We start from the raw sequence: 22,632 nt of genomic DNA on the forward strand, positions 1-22,632 counted from the left end.
TTTAAGCTTTCATACAGCTTCATTCTGAAAAATATTTTCTTTAATTACTTTTCCTTTATTCCTCCAACTCAACATATATATATATAATACATATATAAATAACGTATATGCATTTCCACAAAGCTATCTTGTTTTTATATAATTAGAGGGAACTTATCTTTCTGATTCCCTCTAATTATATAAAAACAAGATAGCTTTGTGGAAAAGCATATATGTTATATACATATATATATACTGCATAGAAAATATAACTGATATTTGAGTAAGTATGTAAAAGAAAATTGGCCAACAGAAAATAAAATTCTTAAGAAAACTAACAAGTAGTGGTTACAATAATATATAGAGATGCAATATATATAAACTGTATGAAAAATGTAATTGACAATTGCATAGAGTCATTATGTAAATGAAACATCAACCAATGAAAAACATAAAATTCTTTAGACATTTAACAAGTACTGATTGCAACAAAACACAGGGTTGTTTTTTTTTAACTTTTTTGAATATGTAGTAATTTTTTTTTTTAAATGGAGTCTCACCCTGTTGCCCAGGCTGGAGTGCAGTGGCATGATCTCGGCTCACTGCAACCTCCTCCGCCTCCCGGGTTCTAGCAATTCTTCTTCTTCAGACTCCCGAGTAGCTGAGACTACAGGCACACACCACCATGCCTGGCTGATTTTTTGTATTTTAGCAGAGACTGGGTTTCACCATGTTGCCCAGGCTGATCTCAAACTCCTGAGCTCAGGTAGTCCACCTGCCTCAGCCTCCCAAAGTGCTGGGATTACAGGCGTGAGCCACTGTACCTGGCCAGTAATTTTTTGATGTTTGAAGTTCTACTAAAAAACAAAATTTTCATTACAATAATATCAGTTGTTAATGTTTTTCCGACTGTCAATATCATTATTTAACTACTTTCTTTTCTTCACTCGATCTCATAGTTCTATTCAACCTGCTAAGAACAAACAGTATCTATTCAACCATTTCAATCATCAAAGTAAAATTTCAGGAATATTATTCTTGTAAAACTCATGTGTGGACAATGTTTTTGTGAAGCAAAACCAGTGTGATTTGCTTTCAAGATTCCCTCCAGCGGGTTCTGTTTTTGTTGTTTTGCCATACAAGTAATGAATGTGTCTGAATATAAAAGGGATAGGTAATTTAAGAAAGAAGTACATCTTTAATAAAGTACTGAAAAGTTTTGAAAATATCACACTGATAAAACCAAACATATCTGAAGCCATAATTCATAATGGAATTAACACTGTAAGTCTACATCAATGTTTTAAATATTTTCAGTACCTAGAAATATATGGTGAATATGTGGTAGTGAATAAGTCTCATGAAACCTGATGGTTTTATAAATGGGAGTTCCCCTTCACAAGCTCTCTTGCCTGCTGCCATATAAGATGTGACTTTGTTCCTCTTTTGCCCTCTAGCATGATTGTGAGGCCTCCCCAGCTATGTGGAACTGTGAATCAATTAAACCACTTTTCTTTATAAATTACATAGTCTCAGGTATGTCTTTATTAGCAGCATAAGAACAGACTAATACAGTGAATTGTTACCAATAGAGTGGGGTGCTGCTGTAAAGACAGCCAAAATTGTGGAAGCCACTTTGGAACTGGGTAACAGGCAGAGGCTGGAACAGTTTGGAAGCTCAGAAGAGGACGGGAACATGTGGGAAAGTTTGGAACGTCCTAGAGACTTTTTGAATGGCTTTGACCAAAATGCTGATAGTGATATGGACAAGAAATCTAGGTTGAGGCGGTCTAGGATGGAGATGAGGAACTTGCTGGGTACTGGAGTAAAGGTCACTCTTGTTATGCAAAAAGACTGGTGATATTTTGCCTCTGCCCTAGAGGTCTGTGGAACTTTGAACTTGAGAGAGATAATTTAAGGTATCTGGCATAACAGATTTCTAAGTGGCAAAATATTCAAGAGGAAGCAGAGAATAAAAATCTGACTATGCAATAAAAAAAAAAAGAAAAATCCATTTTCTGAGTAGAAATTCAAGCCAGCTGCAAAAATTTGCATAAGTAACAAGGAGCCAAATGTTAATCACCAAGACAATGGGGAAAATGTCTCCAGAGCATGTTACAGACCTTTATGGCAGCCCCTTCCATCACATGCCTAGAGGCCTAGTAGGGAAAAATGGCTCCATGGGCTGAGCCCAGGGACTCCTGCTCCATGCAGCCTTGGGGCATGGTGCCCTGCATCCCAGCTGCTTCAGCTCCAGCTATGGCTAAAAGGGGCGAACATACAGCTCAGGCCATTGCTTCAGAGAATGCAAGCCCCAAGCCTTGGTGGCTTACACGTGGTTTTGGGCATGCTGGTACACAGAAGTCAAGAATTGAGGTTTGGGAACCTCTGCCTAGATTTCATAGGATGCGTGGAAATGCCTGGATGTCCAGGCAGATGTTTGCTTCAAGGTCAGGGCCCTCATGGGAGCTTCTGCTAGGGCAGTGTGGAAGGGAAATGTGGGGTTGAAGCCCCCACACAGAGTCCCCACTGAAGAACTGCCTACTAGAACTCTGAAAAGAGGGCCACCATCCTCCAGACCCCAGAATGATAGATCCACCGATAGCTTGGACAGTGCACCTGGAAAAGCCACAGACACTCAACACCAGCAGCTGAGAGGGGGGCTATACCCTGCAAAGCCACAGGGCAGAGCTGCACAAGACCATGGGAACCCACCTCTTGCATCAGTATGACCTGGATGTAAGACATGGAGTCAAAGACAATCATTTTGGAGCTTTAAGATTTGACTGCCCTGCTGGATTTTGAAGTTGCATGGGGCTGGTAGCCCCTTCATTTTGGCCAATTTCTCCCATTTGGAATGGGTGTATTTATCCCAATGCCTGTACCCCCATTGTATCTAGGAAGTAACTAACTTGCTTTTGATTTTACAGGCTTATAGGTGGGAGGGACTTGCCTTGTCTCAGATAAGACTTTAAACTGTGGACCTCTGAGTTGATGCTGAAATGAGTTAAGACTTTGGGGATCTATTGGGAAGGCATGATTGGTTTTCGAATGTGAGGACCTGAGATCTTGGAGGGGCCAGGGGTGGAATGATATGTGCTTTGGCTATGTCCACACCCAAATCTCACTTTGAATTGTAATTATCCCCATGTGTCAAGGACAGGGCCGGGTGGAGATGATTGAATCATGAGGGCAGTTTTGCCCATACTGTTCTCGTGGTAGTCAGTTTCATGAGATCTGATGGTTTTATAAATGGGAGTTCCCCTGCATAAGCTCTCTTGCCTGCTGCCATATAAGATGTAACTTTGCTCATCATTCGCCTTCTGGCATGATTGTGAGGCTTCTGCAGATGTGTGGAACTGGGAGTCAATTAAACCTCTTTCCTTTATAAATTACCCAGTCTCTGGGAACAGGCTAATACATAGTCCTAAACTTCATAACTTATCTAATGTAGCTCTCCCCAGTATGACTAACCACCACACTCCATATTCACCTCCATCTGTTTCCAATATGTCCCATCCTTCTCAAAAAGAAGTGTCTATTCTCTGTATTTAGGACATCACTTATGAGGTATAAATTATTCATGTTATGCTTCTCATCTGGAGTGTTTTCTCTCCAGTCCATAGCAGTGTTCAAGGCCTAAAAGCAGAGGTGACAAAAACAGTCTGCCTGCAAATGAAACATGGCTCAAAGACATGTTTTTTATGGTCCACACAGTAGCCAATAACTTAAAAACTGAAAATTTTTATATAAAAATCCAGATTTTCATCTTTACCTGAACACCTAGAACATGTGGTTGCACTGTCCCCCGTGGCAATAGTTGGCTGGAGCTAAGCAGCTCTGGAACCTTCTTGGTGGGGCAGTGTATGTACTCCTTGGTCTAGCCCAGTTTTCATTTCTTCTTATTTCTTAGCCTGGGTCCCTATAGGCACTTCAACTTTTGATCTCTGACATGCAAGAATGAAATTATATAGCAAAGAGTAGAAAATCTTTGAACACTCATTCACAAGGGAAAGTTTCAACATTATTATAGCAGTACCTAATCTAAATAAAGTCAACCACAAATTTATTTATGTTTAATAAACTTTATTACTACAACTTATTCAACATTTATTGAATCCTGTTTTGTACCAAGAATTAGATGAGGAAATGTGGACAAAGAGCAGAGTAAAGTATATTTCTGCCTTCCCATAATTAATCATGTAGTCAATATAACAGAAATCATTTTAAACAAGGTATTTTAATACAATGCAATAACAGAGATATATACAAAAGGCACTAAAAGAAAATATCTGAGCATCAGCTGTATTATATTCAAAGAGCCAACTTATCCATAGATGTTATTAATGAATAGATGACAGATTTGATGGCTTACATCAATTTAGTTTTTACAAGAGGAATATAAACACCTGTGTCATAATTGAGGACTGCAAACTACTCAAAGTCATAATTGTAATTTTGCATGACTTGTAAAATGTCTGCTTCAGTAATCATGAAGCACTAAGAAATCAGTATCACACTTTAGAATATAACTAAACTTTTTATTCCTAACCTATTATTTACCTGCCTATCTTAAAGAAATATCTTGGATGTTTGAGTTAAGTATCTGCTTGATAAATGTTATATAAATCAGTTGCTACAGGCATCAGTGTTTTGGATATTTTTCAAATATAGTGCGACTGTTTATTTCAAATTTAATTCAAATAAGATGTATTTTGAACTGTCTCAGGTTAAATTTCTGGAACTTTATGGTAACTTGAAGGAATTTAAAAGTAGGAATTATTACAATTCAAACTCATATTAATCTAAAGACAATTCTGAGCTTTAGTTTTGGGTTTTTTATCAAGGCAAGATCAATCTCCCCCTGAATTTGACCCATTAATCTGTCTTCCCCCCTTAACCACACCCTTTCAAATTTTGCATATTTGAAAAGAGCTATCATACCTTCCTCACAAATATACTTATTCAATAATTTCCTGTTTAGATTACTCATATGGCTCTATTATTTTTCTGCGAACTTTCTTCTCAAATGTTGCCCTGTTTTTAAACATTCCTTGTAAAACATAGCACTTAGAAACAAATGAAGTATTCTAGATTGTGGATGATCAGATCCAAGTTTGGCACAATTATTTTTCTTGATGTAGACAATATTATTTTTGAGCAAGCTTTATATCCAATAACATTTCTGGTAGCATATCATACTTCAGATGCACATTGAACTTAAATTATTCATTTGTTTCTTCTGAGTGCCATATTTGGCTTCATCCACTAAACCATATGATAATTATTTGGTACATATGATAAACCTATAGTTCTAATGACAACATTTCTGTAAAAGCTATGGATTTCAGATTCCTTGAAATAAATTTTCAGTCCACCTTTCAAGCACTGTCTTCATTGAGTATAACACTCACTCAGTACAGGATACTTTTCATGGTATAGAGTCCCTAAGGACCAAGGAGTCCTGGAATCATATGTAATCTCATCACCCAATCATTTGCTCTACCATACAACTTTATGATATTGTTTTAACCAAAAGTCAGATTCACTATTATAGAAATTACCCTATTGTTGGAAGTTACTAAGATAATGGTCATTAGTCTGATGTCAGAGAGGAAAATCCAAATAATGACATGTCATTGTTTATCTTATTGATAACTGCATACCACTTTATACTGTAAATAACTGAAAATAAACATTTCTTAAAGCTTGTAGTAGACTGAATACTGGTGTCCCAAAGATGTCCATGTCCTAATTCCCAGACCTCCAAATGTTTCCTTACATGGCAAAAGGGACTTTACAGGTGTGATTTAGTTAAGGATCTTCAGATCAGAGGATTCCTCTACATTACTTGGGCAGGCCCGGTGTACTCACAAGAGTCCTTAAAAGCAGAGAGGAGGGTCAGGGCAGAGAAGGCCATGTGACAATGGAAGCAGAGGTCAGAGTGAAATGGGGCCACAAGACAAGAAACACAGGCAGCCTCTAGAGCTGGAAAAAGCAAGAAAATAGATTCTTACCCACAGCCTTCAAAAGGAGTACAGCCCTGCTTGCCCATTTTGGATTTCTGACCTCCAGAACAAATGTGTGTTGCTTTAAGTCAGTAAGTGTGGTAATTTGTAACAGCAGCAATAGGAAACTGATATGCTTCTTAATCAAAGGCTCCTGGTAAAAACTGCACTCATCTAATTAGACTTTGCTGGGGGTGGAATAAAACACAACTTCTATTTATCCTGACAGATATTAAAGAACATAAGGCTTTTTTCTTCTTCCTAATAGTGGCTTTAATAGTTTGATTTTTTTTCAACTCTGCTACACTTTACATATATTATATGGGAAGAAATTGGTACAATGAGTCTAATTTTCTACAGATTTGTCAAGAGTATTTGAACAGTAAAACATATTTCCAAACAATCATTAGTTTCTAACACCAAAAACTGGGTAAACAGCCAAACTAAAATGGTATTAAAAAGACTCATCATTCTTTATATTAATTGCTAACTCATTAATCAATTACTAATTCAGAAATACACAGATTATTAGGTATTGCTAAGTGATAACTTGTGGACTTAAAGGTAAATTTGGGTAAGGATAAAAAATTAAAACTTGGTTTAGAATAATAAAATGATACCAAATCAGAATCAGAATCACACAATTCCAATGTTTAGAAACTGTAAAATTTATACTAAAAATATTTAAGGCATTATTTATCAAGCTAACACAGTTCTAAATAATTGTACAATGCTTTAGACAGGAATAGAAAATCAATAAGCTGGAGGTTTCAACCATTCCTGTCATGGAACATTTTAAGATTTATGAAATAAAATTGATTTGTGAAATCAGACAGAATTGCTGTATTTACCTTTCATTAACATGAATGTAACTGTGCCACTAGTCAAAAATATTAATCACGTTGATTATCCTTAAGCAATTTCAAGTTTATTATTGAAAGCATAAGTATTCATTTTCCCAAGTATTCAATAAGACTGCCTGTCAAATTACAAACAACACAATAAATTCTACAAAGTGTGGTGAAACAATAAAATCATTTAACATAATTGAATATTCCCATGAATTGTATAAACATTAATCTTAATGATAAATCAAAAAGCAAATAACTTATTGGGTAAAGTTCTTAAGTTCTACATCTAGCTCTGTCACTAACAACACTTCTTAAATCCACTGAAAATAATCTACTTCTAACCTTGACTCTGTTTTCATTAATCACCACAAGGACTCTCAAGTCACCTTAGTTTCCCATGCTTTAATCTCCTATTGGACCCTACGCATACTTGATTTTTGTCCTCTTTTATTACCCATCCCTGATTCCTAAACCTTTTCTATTGTGTCCTTCAGGAACCATCATCAGAAGAATGCCTTATATCCTAAAATTAGTCTATGAATATTCTCTTCACTTTCTTTCTTTAATATAACTGGCTTTCCTTCATTTTCCAAGCAGTGGCTCATGTCTCCCATAGTCATTGTTGCAATAACTTCACTATTCGCAGAAGTGACTGAAAACCACACACACATGCACACAAATCACATCACAAAAAGTAAACTCAGTGTATCCTTGACATGACTTTGTAAGATCTCAAAAATACCTATGGCCTCTCTCCATTGCTGTCCAACAAGGAGACAAGTATTGCAGACAAGAAGCTAGATTGGCAGAGAGTGATCTTAACTGGTTGTGGTCAAAATAGTTTACTTCTGTAAATATGTCAAAAGCACATATCCCTGTGAACATATTGGTAAAGCCCCTCCCAGGAAATAAGCTCCTGTAAGGAAGTGGGGTGGGGCAGGGGAGCTAGAATTCAAGCCTCATTAGTTCCATGAAGACCCCACAATTGCATGCATCCCACTCTCTGACCACCACCTCCTGCGTTTTCTCTCCCCTCTCTCTGGTACCTCAATGACACATTTTAGTTTTTAGCTTCTCATTTTAAAACAATTTCAGACTCATAAAAAGTTGCAGAAATAGTAAACACAGTTCCCATGTCTTCTTCACTCAGCTTCCTTAAATGTTAACATCCTACAAAGCCAGTATAATTATCGAAATATAGTTATGAAAGCTAGGAAATTAAGATTGGTGCAACACCATTGACAAAAATAAACCTTATTCAAATTTCATGAGTTGTCTCACTAATATTTTTATTTTTTACTATGGAATTTAATCTAGGATCCCATAATTAATTTAATTGTCATCTTGCCTCTAATTTGGGACAGTTCTTCATTCTTTCTTTGACTTTGATGAACTTAACACTTTTGAAGAGTACTGACCATTTATTTTGTCAAATGTCCTTCAATTGGGTTTGTCAGTATTTCATCATGATTAAAATCAAGTTGTGCATTTTTCAAAATAATACCACAGAAGTGGCGCGCCCTTCTCAATGCATCATATGAGGTGCTACATGATGTTGGTTTGTCCCATTATTGCTGGTATTAACTTTGATCATTTGGTCAAGGTGTTACATGCAGATTTCTCCACTGCAAAGTTAGTTTTCTCTGTGTAACTAATATGTATCTGGTAGGGAGGGAGACTATAAATATTCCACATCTCATCATATTTTGTCAACTAAGTTTAGCATTCATCGATGATTCTTGCCTGTAACAATTGTTACTGTAACGTTTGCCAACTGGTGATCCAAAACTCTCAACCCTACTGGGACCTCCATTCCGTTGATCTTTCCGATGTTACTCTATCCTCAGCATTTTCGTTTCCTCACTTCCCTCTATGTGTAGCTTAAATTCAATTCTCCATCATTATAATTACCCCTTGCCTATATCCTCAACTCATTTTCTCTTCACTTGTTTCACTGTATTTCTCGTTAAAACCACAGCTCTTCACCTACTCTTTGCCTAGAACTATGGACTTGAGATTTGCTGATTAAAAAATACATAAGCAAATTAACTGGTTTCTTTTCAAACAATGTTCATTACCCCTAGAGAATCCCTAATATTGTCAGGTAATTATACTATGTCTTTCTAGTTCATTATTACTTTACAACTCTTCACACCTTCTTCTCTCTCCTCCAGCTCCCTGTACCTCCTTATCCATTTCCCCTCTCAGCTGATGTCCTTGTTTCATATTTTCTGAGAAAAATATGAATCAACCTAATCAGACTTTGAACCAGCTCCCACCATAATATCTACTTGCTGGCATCTGCACTCACACTGGCTCCCACTGTTACCATAGGTGAAATTTCTATGTTTTAATACCATGTATAAAAGCTTATCCTTTTTCATCTACTCAAGCACATTGCTCCAGCAGTTTCTCTCACTTTTGCATCATCAAAGTTTTCTCTATATTAGATCATGCCAACAGCTTACATTTTATTATTCCTGTCTTTTTTAAAAAAAATCTTTCATTCCACTTTTCCCACATGTTACCACCCCATTACTTTGCTCCTCTTTATAGCAAAACTCTTCAGAAATTGTTTTCAATGGTTACTGTCCCCAATTCCTCTCCTTCTATTCACTCAAATCTATTTCATTCAGATATTTGCCTCTATTGTTCACTGAAACTGATCTTATAAAAGTCATCAAAAAACCATTACATTACAAATGCACAGTTAGTTCTGAGTACTCTTTTTGCTTCACCTAGTAGTGGCACTCATCACAGCTGAACATTCCCTCCCACGTGTCACAGTGTGTTCACTTACTACCAAAGGAAACATTCTGTGTGTTTCTTCTGTTTGACCGGATGTTCTGCCTCCATACCTTTTACTCATTCAAGCCTTCATATGTTGAAGTGTCCCAGGTTTTACTCATTCTGATGATCTCATTTAATCTCATGTCTTTAAATGCCATTTATATGGTATATTAGTCGGCTTGGGCTGCCATAACAAAATACCATAGACTAGATGTCTTTAAAAAGAGAAATTTATTTCTCAAAGTTCTTAAGGCTGGAAGTCCCAGATCAAGGGGTCACCAGAGCTGGTTTCTCCTGAAGCCACTCTCCGTGGCTTGCAGAGGTCAGCTTCTCGCTGTGACTTCAAATGGTCTTTTCTCCATGTGTGTGCACCCTTGATGTCACTCTATGTGTCCAAATTTCCTCTTCTTCAAAGAACAAATCAGATTGGTTTAAGGTCCTCCCTAAAGACCTCATTTTAAGCTAAACACCTTTTTGAAGGCCCTGCCTCCAAAGGTAGTCATATTCTGAGGAACTGTGAGTTTCTCCACTTCAATATATCAATTTGGGGAAGACACAATTCAGGCAATAATATATGACAATTCCAAATTTTATACTGCCAACTCAGACCTTCCTCCCCAAATTCAGATTCATATATATGATAGTTTTAACATCTCTCATGAATTTTATCCTGGAAATCCACTCTCCCCACAGCCATCTCTGTCTTGGGTCTCAGTAACTCCATTTTACCATCCTTTCGTGATCCTGGTCAAAAAACCTTAGAATCCTCCTTGACCCTCTCTTCTCTAACTGCTCACATACAATCCACTAGAAAGTCATGTCACTCTACCTGCAAAATATATTTAAAATCTGATCCTTTATCATTCTCTTCACTGCAATCACAATGAACTAAGTCAACATCATCTTTTGCCTGGATTTCTGCAATAGTTTCCCAGGTCTTCCTCTTGCTTCTTTGTAGTCCATTCTCAAAACAGAACCCATAAGTGATCTTTTTAAGACATAAGTCAGACTATATTACTCTTCTATTCAAAATCCTTCAATGGCTTGACGTTTCACTTGGAGTAAAATGAAAAGTCCTTACAAGGAATTACAAGGCCCTGCCAGTTCTGGGCCCAACTCCCTATCCCCTTAACGCTCTGACCTACTCCTGTGCTTCTCACATCAGCTTACTACACTTCAGCCAAACTGACCTCCTCCTATCCTAAAACACACCAGTCATGCTCCTGCTTTAGAGCCTTTGTTCTGGCTACTACTCGATCATTCTTCTGGACAAACTGCTAACTGCATGGCTCGCTCCTTCACCTTCTTCAAGACTTGGTTTAAATCTGAACCTTACCAATACACCTTCACTGACAATTGGCTACTGCTCCTAAGCCCTGCCCACCCTATCCCACCACCCTCAACCTGGACGTTTTCTTTATTCATGACATTACTTACCATTTATGTAACATATTATCAAATTTACTTATTCATTATATTTATTTTTATTGTTTTTTTATCTGTCTTCCAAAATAGGAATTTAAGTGCTCTAGTGCAGGAATCTTTATTCATTTTCTTCCCTGATATATTCAAATTCCTAAGGAAGTGTCCAGGACTTTATAGGTGCTCTTTAAATAGCAAGAAAACAAATAATGTGATTGAAAAAATGGGCGGAGGACCTGAATTAACTTTTGCAAAAGAAGATATACAAAGGGCCAACAGGTATATGAAAGAGTGCTCAACAACACTAATCATCAGGGAAATGAAAATTAAAACTACAGTGAAATATCATCCTACATCTATTAGAATGGTTATTATCAAAAATACAAAAAGTAAGTGTTGGCAAGTATGTGAAGAAAAGGGGACCCTTGAATACTGTTTGTGGGAATGTAAATTAGTACAACCATTGTAGAAAACAGTATGAAGCTTCCTCAAAAAATTTTTAAAAAAAACTATCATATGATCCAGCAATTGCAACACTGGGTATATATTCAAAGGAAATGAAATTCATGTGTCAAAGAGATATCTGCACTTCCATATTCGTTGCAGCATTATTCACAATAACTAAGGTGTGGAATCAACCTAAGTGTCTATCAAAAAATAAATGGATAAATAAAATGGTCATTATATATATACACAATTGAGTATGATTCAGCCTTAAAAAAGAAAGAAATCCTGTCATTTGCAACAAAATAGATAAGCCTGGAGGACATTATGTGAAATAAGCCAGGTGTAGAGAGACAAATACTACATGATCTCACTTATGTGGAATCTTAAAAAGTCAAATTTATAGAAGTAAAAAATAGAATGGTAGTTACCAGGGGTGGTGGGAGACAGGGAGAGATGTGATCATTGAATACAAAATTTCAGTTAGGAGGAATAAGTTCAAGAGATTTACTTTAAAACATGGTCACTAAAGTTAATAACAATGTATTATATATTTGAAAATGGCTGAAAGTAGCTTTTAAGTGTTCTCACCACAAAAAAATGACCTATATGTGAGGTAATGCATATGTTAATTAGCTAGTTTTACCCATTTCACTATGTATAAACATTTAAAAACATCATTATATACACCATAAATATATTCCATTTTTATTTGTGAATTAAATTTTAAAAAATTTGAATGTATGAATGAATGGATGAATGACAAGCCTCATGCATGTCACTTATTGAGCCTCAGACCCCTTATTTTCATAATTACAAAGGTTAAATTATATAATTTCTGTTGTCTATTCTAACCACCAGCATTTGATTTTATGATACTATAGATCTTACTTAGAAAAAAAAATAGATATATAGAAACTCACCTTTACCCAACAGATAAATTTGGTTATTTTAAATGTTTTTTGAAGATTCTTTTGTAAAAAAAAAATTACTGCTAATGCATTATACATTCATTGGGAGTCTTTGACACAGAAATGGGGAAGAATAGTCACCTCAGCTGAAGTAGATGAGGTCTCTGACAACTGTACGTCAAAGGCAAATGAAGATAAAATACCTTCAAAATGATCACATAAATCAATAAGCAAATGACTTTGATTACAACTATGATTTAATTAATTATAAGGCCACATCTGTTGCATTAATCAAGCTAAAATCAGTAACAGAATTTAAATTGAATGTGGTACCTCAGGAGAGGTTTTAAAAGTAAACTTTTTATTAAGGAATAAATACAGACATAAAAGTGTACAAATCATGCATTCCTTGTTTGGTGAATTATCACAAAGTGAATGTATTCATGTAACTATTATTCAGATCAAGAATCAGAATATTGCTAGAATATTACCAGCACACCAGATGTCTCCCTAAAGTCCCCAACTAGCCACTGACTCCCCAGCTTCCAACAATTCCCACTATCCTGATATCTAACTTCATAGATTAGTTTTGTCTGGGTTTCAATGTTCTATAAATATAATCACACACTGAGTAATCCTAGTGTCTGGCAATTTTTGTTAACCATTTTCTGTAATATTTATTTGCATCATTATGCACAGTTGTAATTCATTCATTCTTCTTAATCTATAATCCTCCAGTGTATTAATATACCCAGTTGATTTTTTATACTGCTGATGGATATTTTGGGTTGTTTCTAGTTTATAACTACAATAGTAGTGCTGCTTTTTGTATATGTTATTTGATGAACATTTCTCTTGAGTATATATTTTCAAGGATCACTACTGGTCATGAAGTATGCTTATGTTCAATCTTAGTAAATATTACCAAATGGTTTCCCAAACTGGTTTTTCCAATTATATTCCTACCTTCAATATATGACAGTTTCAGTTGTTTCTTGCCTTCTTCAAAATTTAGTATTTTCTATCTTATTTTAGTTATTTTGGGGTATGTGTAATGGTATCATATTGGTTTGATTTCTATGCATTTGTGTGGTTTTGAAATTTTATATGTACAGTAAAATGCACACATCTTTATTGAGCTTGATAAATTTATATGTATATGTGTATGTACATACACACATATACAGTGTAGGTGTGTATGTGTGTATATGTATATGTGTGTATGAATGTATGAGTGAACACACACATATACATATACATATACACATACACACATACACACACACACAAACCTATGGTAACCACCATCTAGAACAAGATATAGAACATACTCAGCACCCCAGAAAGATCTCCCTTCCACTTTCAACAACCTCTAAGAGGTTACTATTTTGACTTTTCCCATTGTAAATTAATTTTCTTTTTTCTTGACTTTCAAATAAACAGAATCATACTCTCTTGTGTCTTTGAGTATCCACAGACACACAGACTCGCCAATACATGGAGAGTCATTCATGTATTGCATGTAGCAGTCATTTTTATTGCTTTGTAATATTAAATATATAAATATACCACAATGTACTTGTCCATTCCATTGATAAATGTTTGGGTTGAGTAAAGCTGTAATGAATATTTTGTACTTGATATTTGTTGTAATTATTTCTTCCAGATATATGTGTCTGTATATGGAGCGAAAGAAACAAAAAGGGGGTGGGTGATATTGCTAGGTCCTATGGTAGGCATTTGTTTAGGCTTACAAGATACTGTTAGTTTCCAAAGATCTTTGTCAATTTACACTACCAGCAGCAATGTATGAGAGTTCCAGTCTCTACGAGGTCATCAGCATCACAACTGCCATTGTGGTGGGTGGATGGTAGCATCACATTCTTATTTGCATTTCATAATGACTAATGATATTGAACAACTTTTCATATGCATAATGAATGTTTAAGTACTCTGTTGTAATGTGTCTGTTCAACCCTTTTGACCATTTTTAATTGGATTTTCTGTTTTTATCTCATTGATTTGTAGAAGTACTCTATAAGTTCTAGACAGAAGTCCAGTCCTTTGTTGGATTTGTCTATTACAAATATTTTCTCCCAGTCTTTGACTTTTCATTATTATAATAGTGTCTTCTGATAAATAGAAGATAATAAATTTAATAAAGGTGAATTTATTCATCTTTTATTTCTTTATTAATTCTCTTGAATGTCTGTATTTAAGAAAAAAAATCACCAAAAGATCATGAAGATATTGTCTTATAATTTCATCAAGAAGTTTTATTTTTTCTGCCTTTTCCACTTAGGACTATGATCCATAAATAATTTTTGTATATGGTATAAAGTAGAAATCAAGTTTCATTCCTTTCCACAAATTTATCTAATTGATCCAGGAACATGTATTGAGAAGATTATCCATGCCCCACCAAGTTGCAGTGGCACTTGTTTTAGAAAATGAGTGTGTATGTGTGGGAATACTTTTGGACCCCAATCAGTTCCAGTGGTATCCATTGGAAAGATTTTTCTTTGTTCCCTATAGGAGCAAAGAAACATTTTCTATCTCATCACTAGGTTTGTGATTAAGCCCTCTATAACAAAATTCAGATTAATAGAAAAAAAAGCATACAAATTTAATATGTGTTTTACATGACATGGAATTCTTAATAAGAAAATGAAGGTCCCTCCAAAATAGGTAAATGTATATTTTTTATGCTTAGGTTTGATGAAGAGATGGATAGTCATGAAGATGTATGATTAAACTAAGGGTATGATCTAATGCTAATAATCTCACCAGGGTTGGGGCAGGGAGAGTTAATAAACAGGACTTATCAAGGCCTGTTTGTTTAGATTATTCCCTAAGTCTCTGAGTCTTCAGAGATAAGGATATTCCTTTCTCAGGATATAGGGAGAACACCTCTTCCATGAGGGTCTTATGACCAGTTTCAAGGGAAAAATCAACAGGAAAATGAGATGGCTTTTCTACTTCTGCTGTTTGCTCACATGCCAAGGTGTCATATTTGGGAGTGGCATGTCCATCCCTCCAATACCATGCTGTCTTAATTACCATAGCTGTATAGAAAGTATTTATATTTTGTACTATATGCTATCCAACTTTGTTCTTCTTCTAAAAGATTGTCAGGTCCATTCTAGGCATTTTGTATTACCATGTAAGTTTTAGAATCAGCTCTTGAATTCCTCCCTCCTAGAAAAGATTGGGGTTTTGACTGGCATTGTATTAAATCTATAGATAGCTTTGGGGATTAATCAGCATTTTAACAATATCAAGTTTTCCAGTCTATGAACATGGTATATTTCTCTATTTATGCCTTCTTTACTTTTTCTTAGCAAAGTTTTATAGTTATGAATGTAGACAACTTCACAACTGTTGTAGATTTATTTCTAGGTATTAATATTCTAAAAATATTGTGAATGTTGTTTTTATTTTCTATTAGTTTGTTGCTACTATATGGAAATACAATTAATTTTTATACATAACCCTTGTATCCAGCCCTTGTTTTTTATAATGGTTAGTACTACATAGTCTGTATATTTACTTTTGTATAATACAGTATTTGACACTATAGTTGATTTTACTACATTTACACTAATCCCTTGTAATAACGCCATTTTTGTTTTACAAATTTTCTTTATAAAGACTTTCAAATATCAGAACAACTATTCTTTTGGAATAGAAAGAAATTCTTAAAATCGTTCTTCAAGTAAAGCTGTGAAATACTATGCTGATAGCTTCAATCAATCATATTGTTTAACAACATGATGTTAATATTTAGGAGCTCAAATTACCATTTTTAGACTCCTGAAAAAGAATTTTTTCTAGTCAATACAAATCTTGACATTAGAAAATTACAAGGAACAATTATTCTTCATCAGCATTTACTCAAATTAATTCAAGTTAATTTGTCCCTTTGGAAGTAAGGATGACAATGAAAATCAAGACTTGGAGTGATTTCTTAATAACATAATTATATGTAAAGATGAAGTAAGAGCTATAAACCCACCCTGTAGAGGTTTCCTAGGTAGGGAAAAATTAGGTCCTAACTTTTGTTATTCACCACACAAGATGTCCTTAAGGAAAACTCTAGGCCTTCAAGGTCAGTTAATTATTGTCAGTTAAGCCCATCCTCATTCCCTTTCACCCAGATAGAAAATGCCAGGTAGACTTTAGGAGAATAGGTTTGGTGAGGAGCTTCACAGAGTAAAGCAAACTTTAGAAATTATATCTGGCTTTTCAATATGTTCCCCAAAAGGTAATATGGAGGACACAGCTCAGGCCTCGACTCATCAGTCTTCATGTATTATATCACGTAGAATGAAAGTACAAAGCAAAGATCACTAAAATTTCTAATACTCTTCTTCAATGTATTGCTGAAAGGTTGGGATAGGTGAGAGCAGGGTAAGAGTAAAGGTACATAAACCTTTCTCTACCCCAGAGTAAAAATGGTGGTTTCTTCTATTCCAGGGCCCAGGCTGAGGCACGCTCTTCTAATACTATGTTGAAAATTTAGCATTCCTCATATTTTACAGATTAATTTTTCAAGAACCACTGTCTGATCTGCCCATAGCTTCATAGTTCTGCTATTTAACTTTGCATGGATTTCCTGAGAAGTAATAATGCTGAACACCCCTCCTCCCACCACAGCTCTGCATTACATAAAAAAGTTATCCCAAATTGACTGATGAAAAATCTTCAATCATTTCTCCCTAATTCTTATTTTTATAATTAATTTTTTTCATGATTGCCAAAGGAGGTAGGTCAATCTCCCAGTGCACCCTACAATGGTAATGCATTGATTAAGGGTAATAACAGTGGAAACAGCCACAATACTGTCATTAAATTTATTAACTGTTTCTTGTATGTCAGACACTTGTCAAGGAAGCCACCCACTATTCAATATCTGAAACAAACTAACAAGGCTGAGTTTGTTGCTGGCTATGCGAGGGAGACATGTGCTTGTAAAACAGTCTCTCTGAGAATAGCAGAGAACTCATTTTACTGGGTTTATGGAGGTGTGGGCTCCGGCATGGGTAGATTTTTAGAATTGGGTGGGACTAGGGATTGGTTGACCTTTAGCTGTGTCAGATTGGCTTACTGGATTACTGGAGCCAGACTGGCTATCTGCTGGCTTCCATGAGCTGGGCTACTGAAGTGAGATTGTTGCTCACTGACTGACGTTTGGAAGCCAAAGACTTAACTCATTGGCCAGGCTTCAGAAATACAGCTCCTAAAGCTTCTAAAGTAAGTTGTCATTTGTCATTAAGAAGGGTTTAAAGCTGTTTCTGATGATTGCTTGTTAGGATGTCCAAAACACAGTCTTTTCCTGGGAACACAAGAATCTTTTACTCTGATGATACTCAATGTTAATATTAGTTAGTAGTCAGTTTATAGATGTTACACAATTTACTTTTCAGAAAATCCTTTATGAATATGAATTATTAGAATTTCCATTTTATTCATAAGAAAACTAAGGCTTATCTTGCCCAAAGTCACATGACTCATAAATGGAAGAAACACGATTCAAAACAATTTTAAGTCCAAAAAAATCAGGACATACCCAAAGACTGAGTCTACATTCATTCAGTGAACAGTATAATACATGCTGAGTCATCAGGAAGCCAGGTGTAGCTGTAAGCATTGAGAATACCAACTTACACAAAACACACAAAATCTGTCTTCCTCCAACTGACGCCTTTGCTATCTTTTGCTGATATTTGCATTCTAGGCCTTTTCTCCTGCCAGCTTCAAGATGTCACCTGGTAAATAATTCTCCCTGGATTAGGTCATTTTTGTATAAGTCCTTTGCCCAATACTTCACCAAAATCTTAACTTTTTTCCTGTGAATGGGGCTGTCCCTTACTCTTTACCTTACCTCTGAAAAATCAGATTTGCATTTGACAACTACACTTAGTTCAGATGGCTGAAGGAGATTAAAATCATACCTTCAAGTTCTAATTTAATAGTTAACAATTTTATTAGAGTAATTTTGTGCCCATTTTTGAGGCATCCAAACTAAGTTTATTTTTACCCCATACTTCAACGTAAGGTGAAATTTTTCTCAAAAAACAAAGCAGAAGTAGTTGCCTTATATTCAAATCCATATGACTTTTTTTTATATATTACGAGTCACATTCTCAGTTTATTTTGAGCAAACAAGAACAATACATTAGCCTGAAGCAACCTCAGCCACTGCTAGTTTAGAATGCTCAGATGTCACCCAAAGAAATTTGTTTAAAAAACAGGGAGGGGGCAGACAAACTTTGCATAGATTGTAGTCATTATTGCTGAGTGTGCAGCTTCTCAGCTCCAAGTATTGAATGTTACTGTAAATAAAGTCTTTAAGGACAACTTTCCAAGTGTTACACTAACCGATTATGGTGAGGAAATAACAGACACAAAATGAATTTTTAAAAGAAACTGCCTGTATTTCTATTAATGGCTTAATTATCCCATGATGATGTGCTCTCTTCTGTGTTAGAATAATCACAAAGTGGCTTTTTTTAGTGATAACAAATAACTGAATTAAATGTGTGTATAAAGAATTTTTATAAAATTATCTCCTGAATATCTAAGAAGCACAGCAATTATTCTGAAGTATTATTTTCTATGATAAATGGTTTGTACATGTATATATAATAAGTTAATTAAGTACGAAGTGTAGATTGTGATTATTTCACATTTATTGCTAAAAATGTTTACTTTCAAGTTAATAAAATGAAACATTTATTTTACAAAACAGAAGACTGTCTTATTATCAAAGTGACCTTATACTTGTACATATTATGTATGTTATTTTTCTTATAAATTGAGGAAGTTTTGTTAAATTGCTTTACTAGGCACAAATCTCATTTAGTACAAAGCACTCAAACATATTTTGTGTTTATTTGGCTTCAGATGTAGCCAAGGAGGTCACAGCATTTCTAGAAAATTTGTGTTTTATTAAGCATCCTAGGTACAGAGGTATTCAGCAGAAGAAAGCTTATGGTAGAAATATCCCCAAAATTCCCATGATTATATCTCAAAGTTGCCTGCAAACAAACGATTTTCATGGTATAGAAAGAGGCCCAATCCTCTTGGTCTTCATCCCAGGATCCTTTTGGGATGTCCATCTGGTGATGAGATTGAGGATCGCAGTGTCAGGAGTGGGTCGCCCTCTAACCTGCCTTTGCACCGCAAGCCAGAGTCCAGGAAGGTACTGTGTTTTTAAAAAGAACAGCGGTACCATATTATTCAGCAGTATCTTGAGTTTTGTATAAGAAGAAATAGCAACCAAAGTGAATTCATATATAAATAAATAGATAAAAGTCGCAATGTCACTATTTAAAATAAAAAAGCATAACAGAAGAGAAGAGATATCTAAGGGCCTAGGAAATATAATCTTCTTCAGAAAATATTTTCTTAATGAGTCAGGAAAAAAATAGAGAATTTCTACTTAGCATTAGTGAGATCAAAGGCCATTACATCTATTTAACAGTAATAGGTCAGAATAAACAGAGAATTCAAAGAACCAAGTTAATCGAATCAATAACAAATAATGATAAGCCTTAAAAACCTGGCCCAATACTGCCAGAGTGCTACAGAAAATAAATATGAATACATATCTATAATGTGGAAGAAATGGAAAGAGATGTCTGTTAATGTCACAGATGACAATGGACTTTGGGAACAGAATGTAAAGAATTGACTTTGAATAACAGTATTTCCAAAAAAGAAAATAACACAAAATAATGAGAACTGATCATCAAAATGTAAAATAAAATAAAAGGGCCTAAGCAAATAAGTTTTGATAATGTCTAAAAAATTGCATATATGAGGCTGAAAAGTTTTCCTAAAGACTACAGCATGTAAGAAAGCATGATATCATAATTCTTAGTGTGAACTGTAATATGAGTAATTCAGTATTTTTTCAAGAAGTGGGGAAAGAGAGGGTTTCAAATTACTGTATCCTATTTACTATAGTCAGATTTACTGTATTCATGTTTAATATATAAACTGATGAAAGACTTTTACTTGATGATTAGAACTTAGTCAATTTTTAGGCAAATGTTGTACACCACACTGTCTTATTAGTCCATGTGTATTGTCCATCCACTGGATTCCAGGCCTGCTTTAGGTACAGGGACTTCTGGCCCAAACAAAAACAGTAGGACCTGAAGCCATGGAGTTTACAGTGAGAAAAGACAACAAGCCAACTGTTGGACTTTGACTTAATTATACTTGTAATGAGTTCTATAAAAGGGAAATGATATTGCAACAGGAATTACTCAGGTCACACTGGTGATTAGTGCTGTGAATGCAATTTTATTGCAGTCAAACAACTTCAAGTTTCACAATATTACATAGGAACTAGAATTATACTTCATGAAGGCAGGGATTTTGCTCTGATTTTTTCACTTTCAATCCCGAGTGCAGACAACATTTCCTGGAATATAGTAGGCACTCAAAAAATAATTGTTCCTCAACTAGTAAATGCATAAAAGGAATTCTTCTACTGACTAATTGGTTAGCTAAACTCCTACAAGTAGCCTTTGTGAACAAGGAGAAAAATAGTACCTTATTTCATCATATATAACAAACCATACATTGTAAGTTGTCATTGATTATGACACATTACTATTTTATATGCAAAAGATAAATCAAGTTTGGAGAATCTGATAGGACATACCCTCCTCCCCAGACAAGGCTGAAAATCGTAGTGTAAAATGAACGATAATTAAAGCTACAACACAGAAAGTAAAATTAAATTTGCATGTCTCAATCTTGTCACTGAATAGAGGCAGGGAAAACAAATGTCCTTTGAATTTCTGAAAATTTGAACCATAAAGAGTGCTCACACCAATCTGCAACTCCGAATTCATACCACCATTATGTTCCCAAAGACCAGAGACATAAAGAGGTCCCAGGTTGGCTAATGGAAGAAATAAATGGCAAATCCTATCTGGAAGAACTCAGCTTCAGTCGAGACTCAGAGAAACTGTAATACAGAGCTGCTAATATGAGTCTTAGAATCCATAAAATGCAGTGTTTAGAACACTCCCATATGTCACTGGACAACTGGAAAAGTCATCTAGATTATGTTTAAGGAGCTAAGAATGGGGATTAGTTTTCCCTTTGTCAGCAAAGTCCATCTGTAGCCAGTGACATGCATTTTACAACAGTCAGTTGCAATCTCCAAATTCAGGAGTGTCGAGGTTATTCATAGTTCCATTTTTTTTCCTCAAAAAAGAACAGGGTGATTTAAAAGTAAAATAGAGAAACCTAAGCTGAATTTCTGGCTTAAACAAGAAATCTCTTAGGATGGAATATTTTACTGAGATTTGGAGTATATGTTGCATTAGTCGAAGCCAAAAGAACAGAACTATTTCCAAGGAAGGTAAGATCATGTGCTGGTGTCCTGAGGTGGGAAAAGCATGGCCTGACTGAGTTGTTGAAAGAGAGACATTGTGCCTTTAGAATAAAAAGCAAGTGAAATAGCACTGCAAGAAGAGTTTGTGGACACAGGCATGCCCTAGATCAGGCAAGAATTCTTTACATTTGTTTAAGAACAGACTCTATCCCCAGGGCATGAATTTTAATGACAGGAATGAAAAAAGAGGATTTCCATTATTTTCAACATGTCCTCTCATCTTTCCTTATAATCTGGGTAAATATTGTCTCCTACTTTCTGAAATGGGTATTGAACTAAATTTTAACTCACCTTTCTTTCCTTTAACCCCAGAATTTCACTCCACAATTAGCCAATACTTCTCAATTTGATTCAATAGATAGGATTCCTTCCTTTTTCCAATATAAGAAGGTTTTCTGTTTCCTAATTATAAGTTTTTTTCTTGATTCAGCTTCCATTTCTTTTAACACCCATAAATTCTTTCTGTTTTAGTTGCTACGATTTTCAAATATTTGGTGTGTACTTTTACTTCCAAGTTCTATCCTGATTCAGTATCATCTCAGTTTCTGCCAGCTTTCATCTGACTTTAAAACTCTTCTGAAACTACCTGCTCATCAAAGATCAAAATGTGCTTTTCCACCAGATCCAGTGGCTTTCTCTCATCTCTCATCTCCTGCTTGCTTTAACCTTGTATGTTGTTGACAATCTCCTGCGACTTTCTTCAACAAATTTTGTCCTTCGTTGGCTAAACTATTGCACTTTGTTATCTTTCTATTTCTCTTCTTCCTTTTTTTTTTTTGAGACAAAATTTCACTTTTTTGCCCAAGCTG

At 35.2% G+C, this 22,632-nt stretch overlaps 1 protein-coding gene and 1 long non-coding RNA gene across 6 annotated transcripts in view; one reads left to right on the forward strand and one right to left on the reverse strand.

The window, feature by feature from the left end:
* GALNTL6 (polypeptide N-acetylgalactosaminyltransferase like 6) overlaps window positions 1-22,632 on the forward strand; it is a 1,228,156-nt gene that overhangs the window by 817,232 nt on the left and 388,292 nt on the right. The gene's annotated exons all lie outside the window — the stretch shown is intronic.
* The window catches only part of GALNTL6-AS1 (GALNTL6 antisense RNA 1), a 96,947-nt gene that overhangs the window by 704 nt on the left and 73,611 nt on the right, over window positions 1-22,632 (reverse strand). The window contains exons 3-4 of one of the 2 annotated variants that reach the window (NR_125895.1): window positions 3,755-3,926; window positions 804-836 (exon numbers count right to left, since the gene is read on the reverse strand). This is a non-coding gene — a long non-coding RNA (GALNTL6 antisense RNA 1). Of the gene's footprint in view, window positions 1-803; window positions 837-3,754; window positions 3,927-4,048; window positions 5,968-22,632 lie in introns of those variants that run through there. The other variant, NR_125894.1, reaches the window with a different exon arrangement.

The sequence above is a fragment of the Homo sapiens genome, chromosome 4 (assembly GCF_000001405.40).
Source record: "Homo sapiens chromosome 4, GRCh38.p14 Primary Assembly".
Classification (NCBI taxonomy): domain Eukaryota; kingdom Metazoa; phylum Chordata; class Mammalia; order Primates; family Hominidae; genus Homo; species Homo sapiens.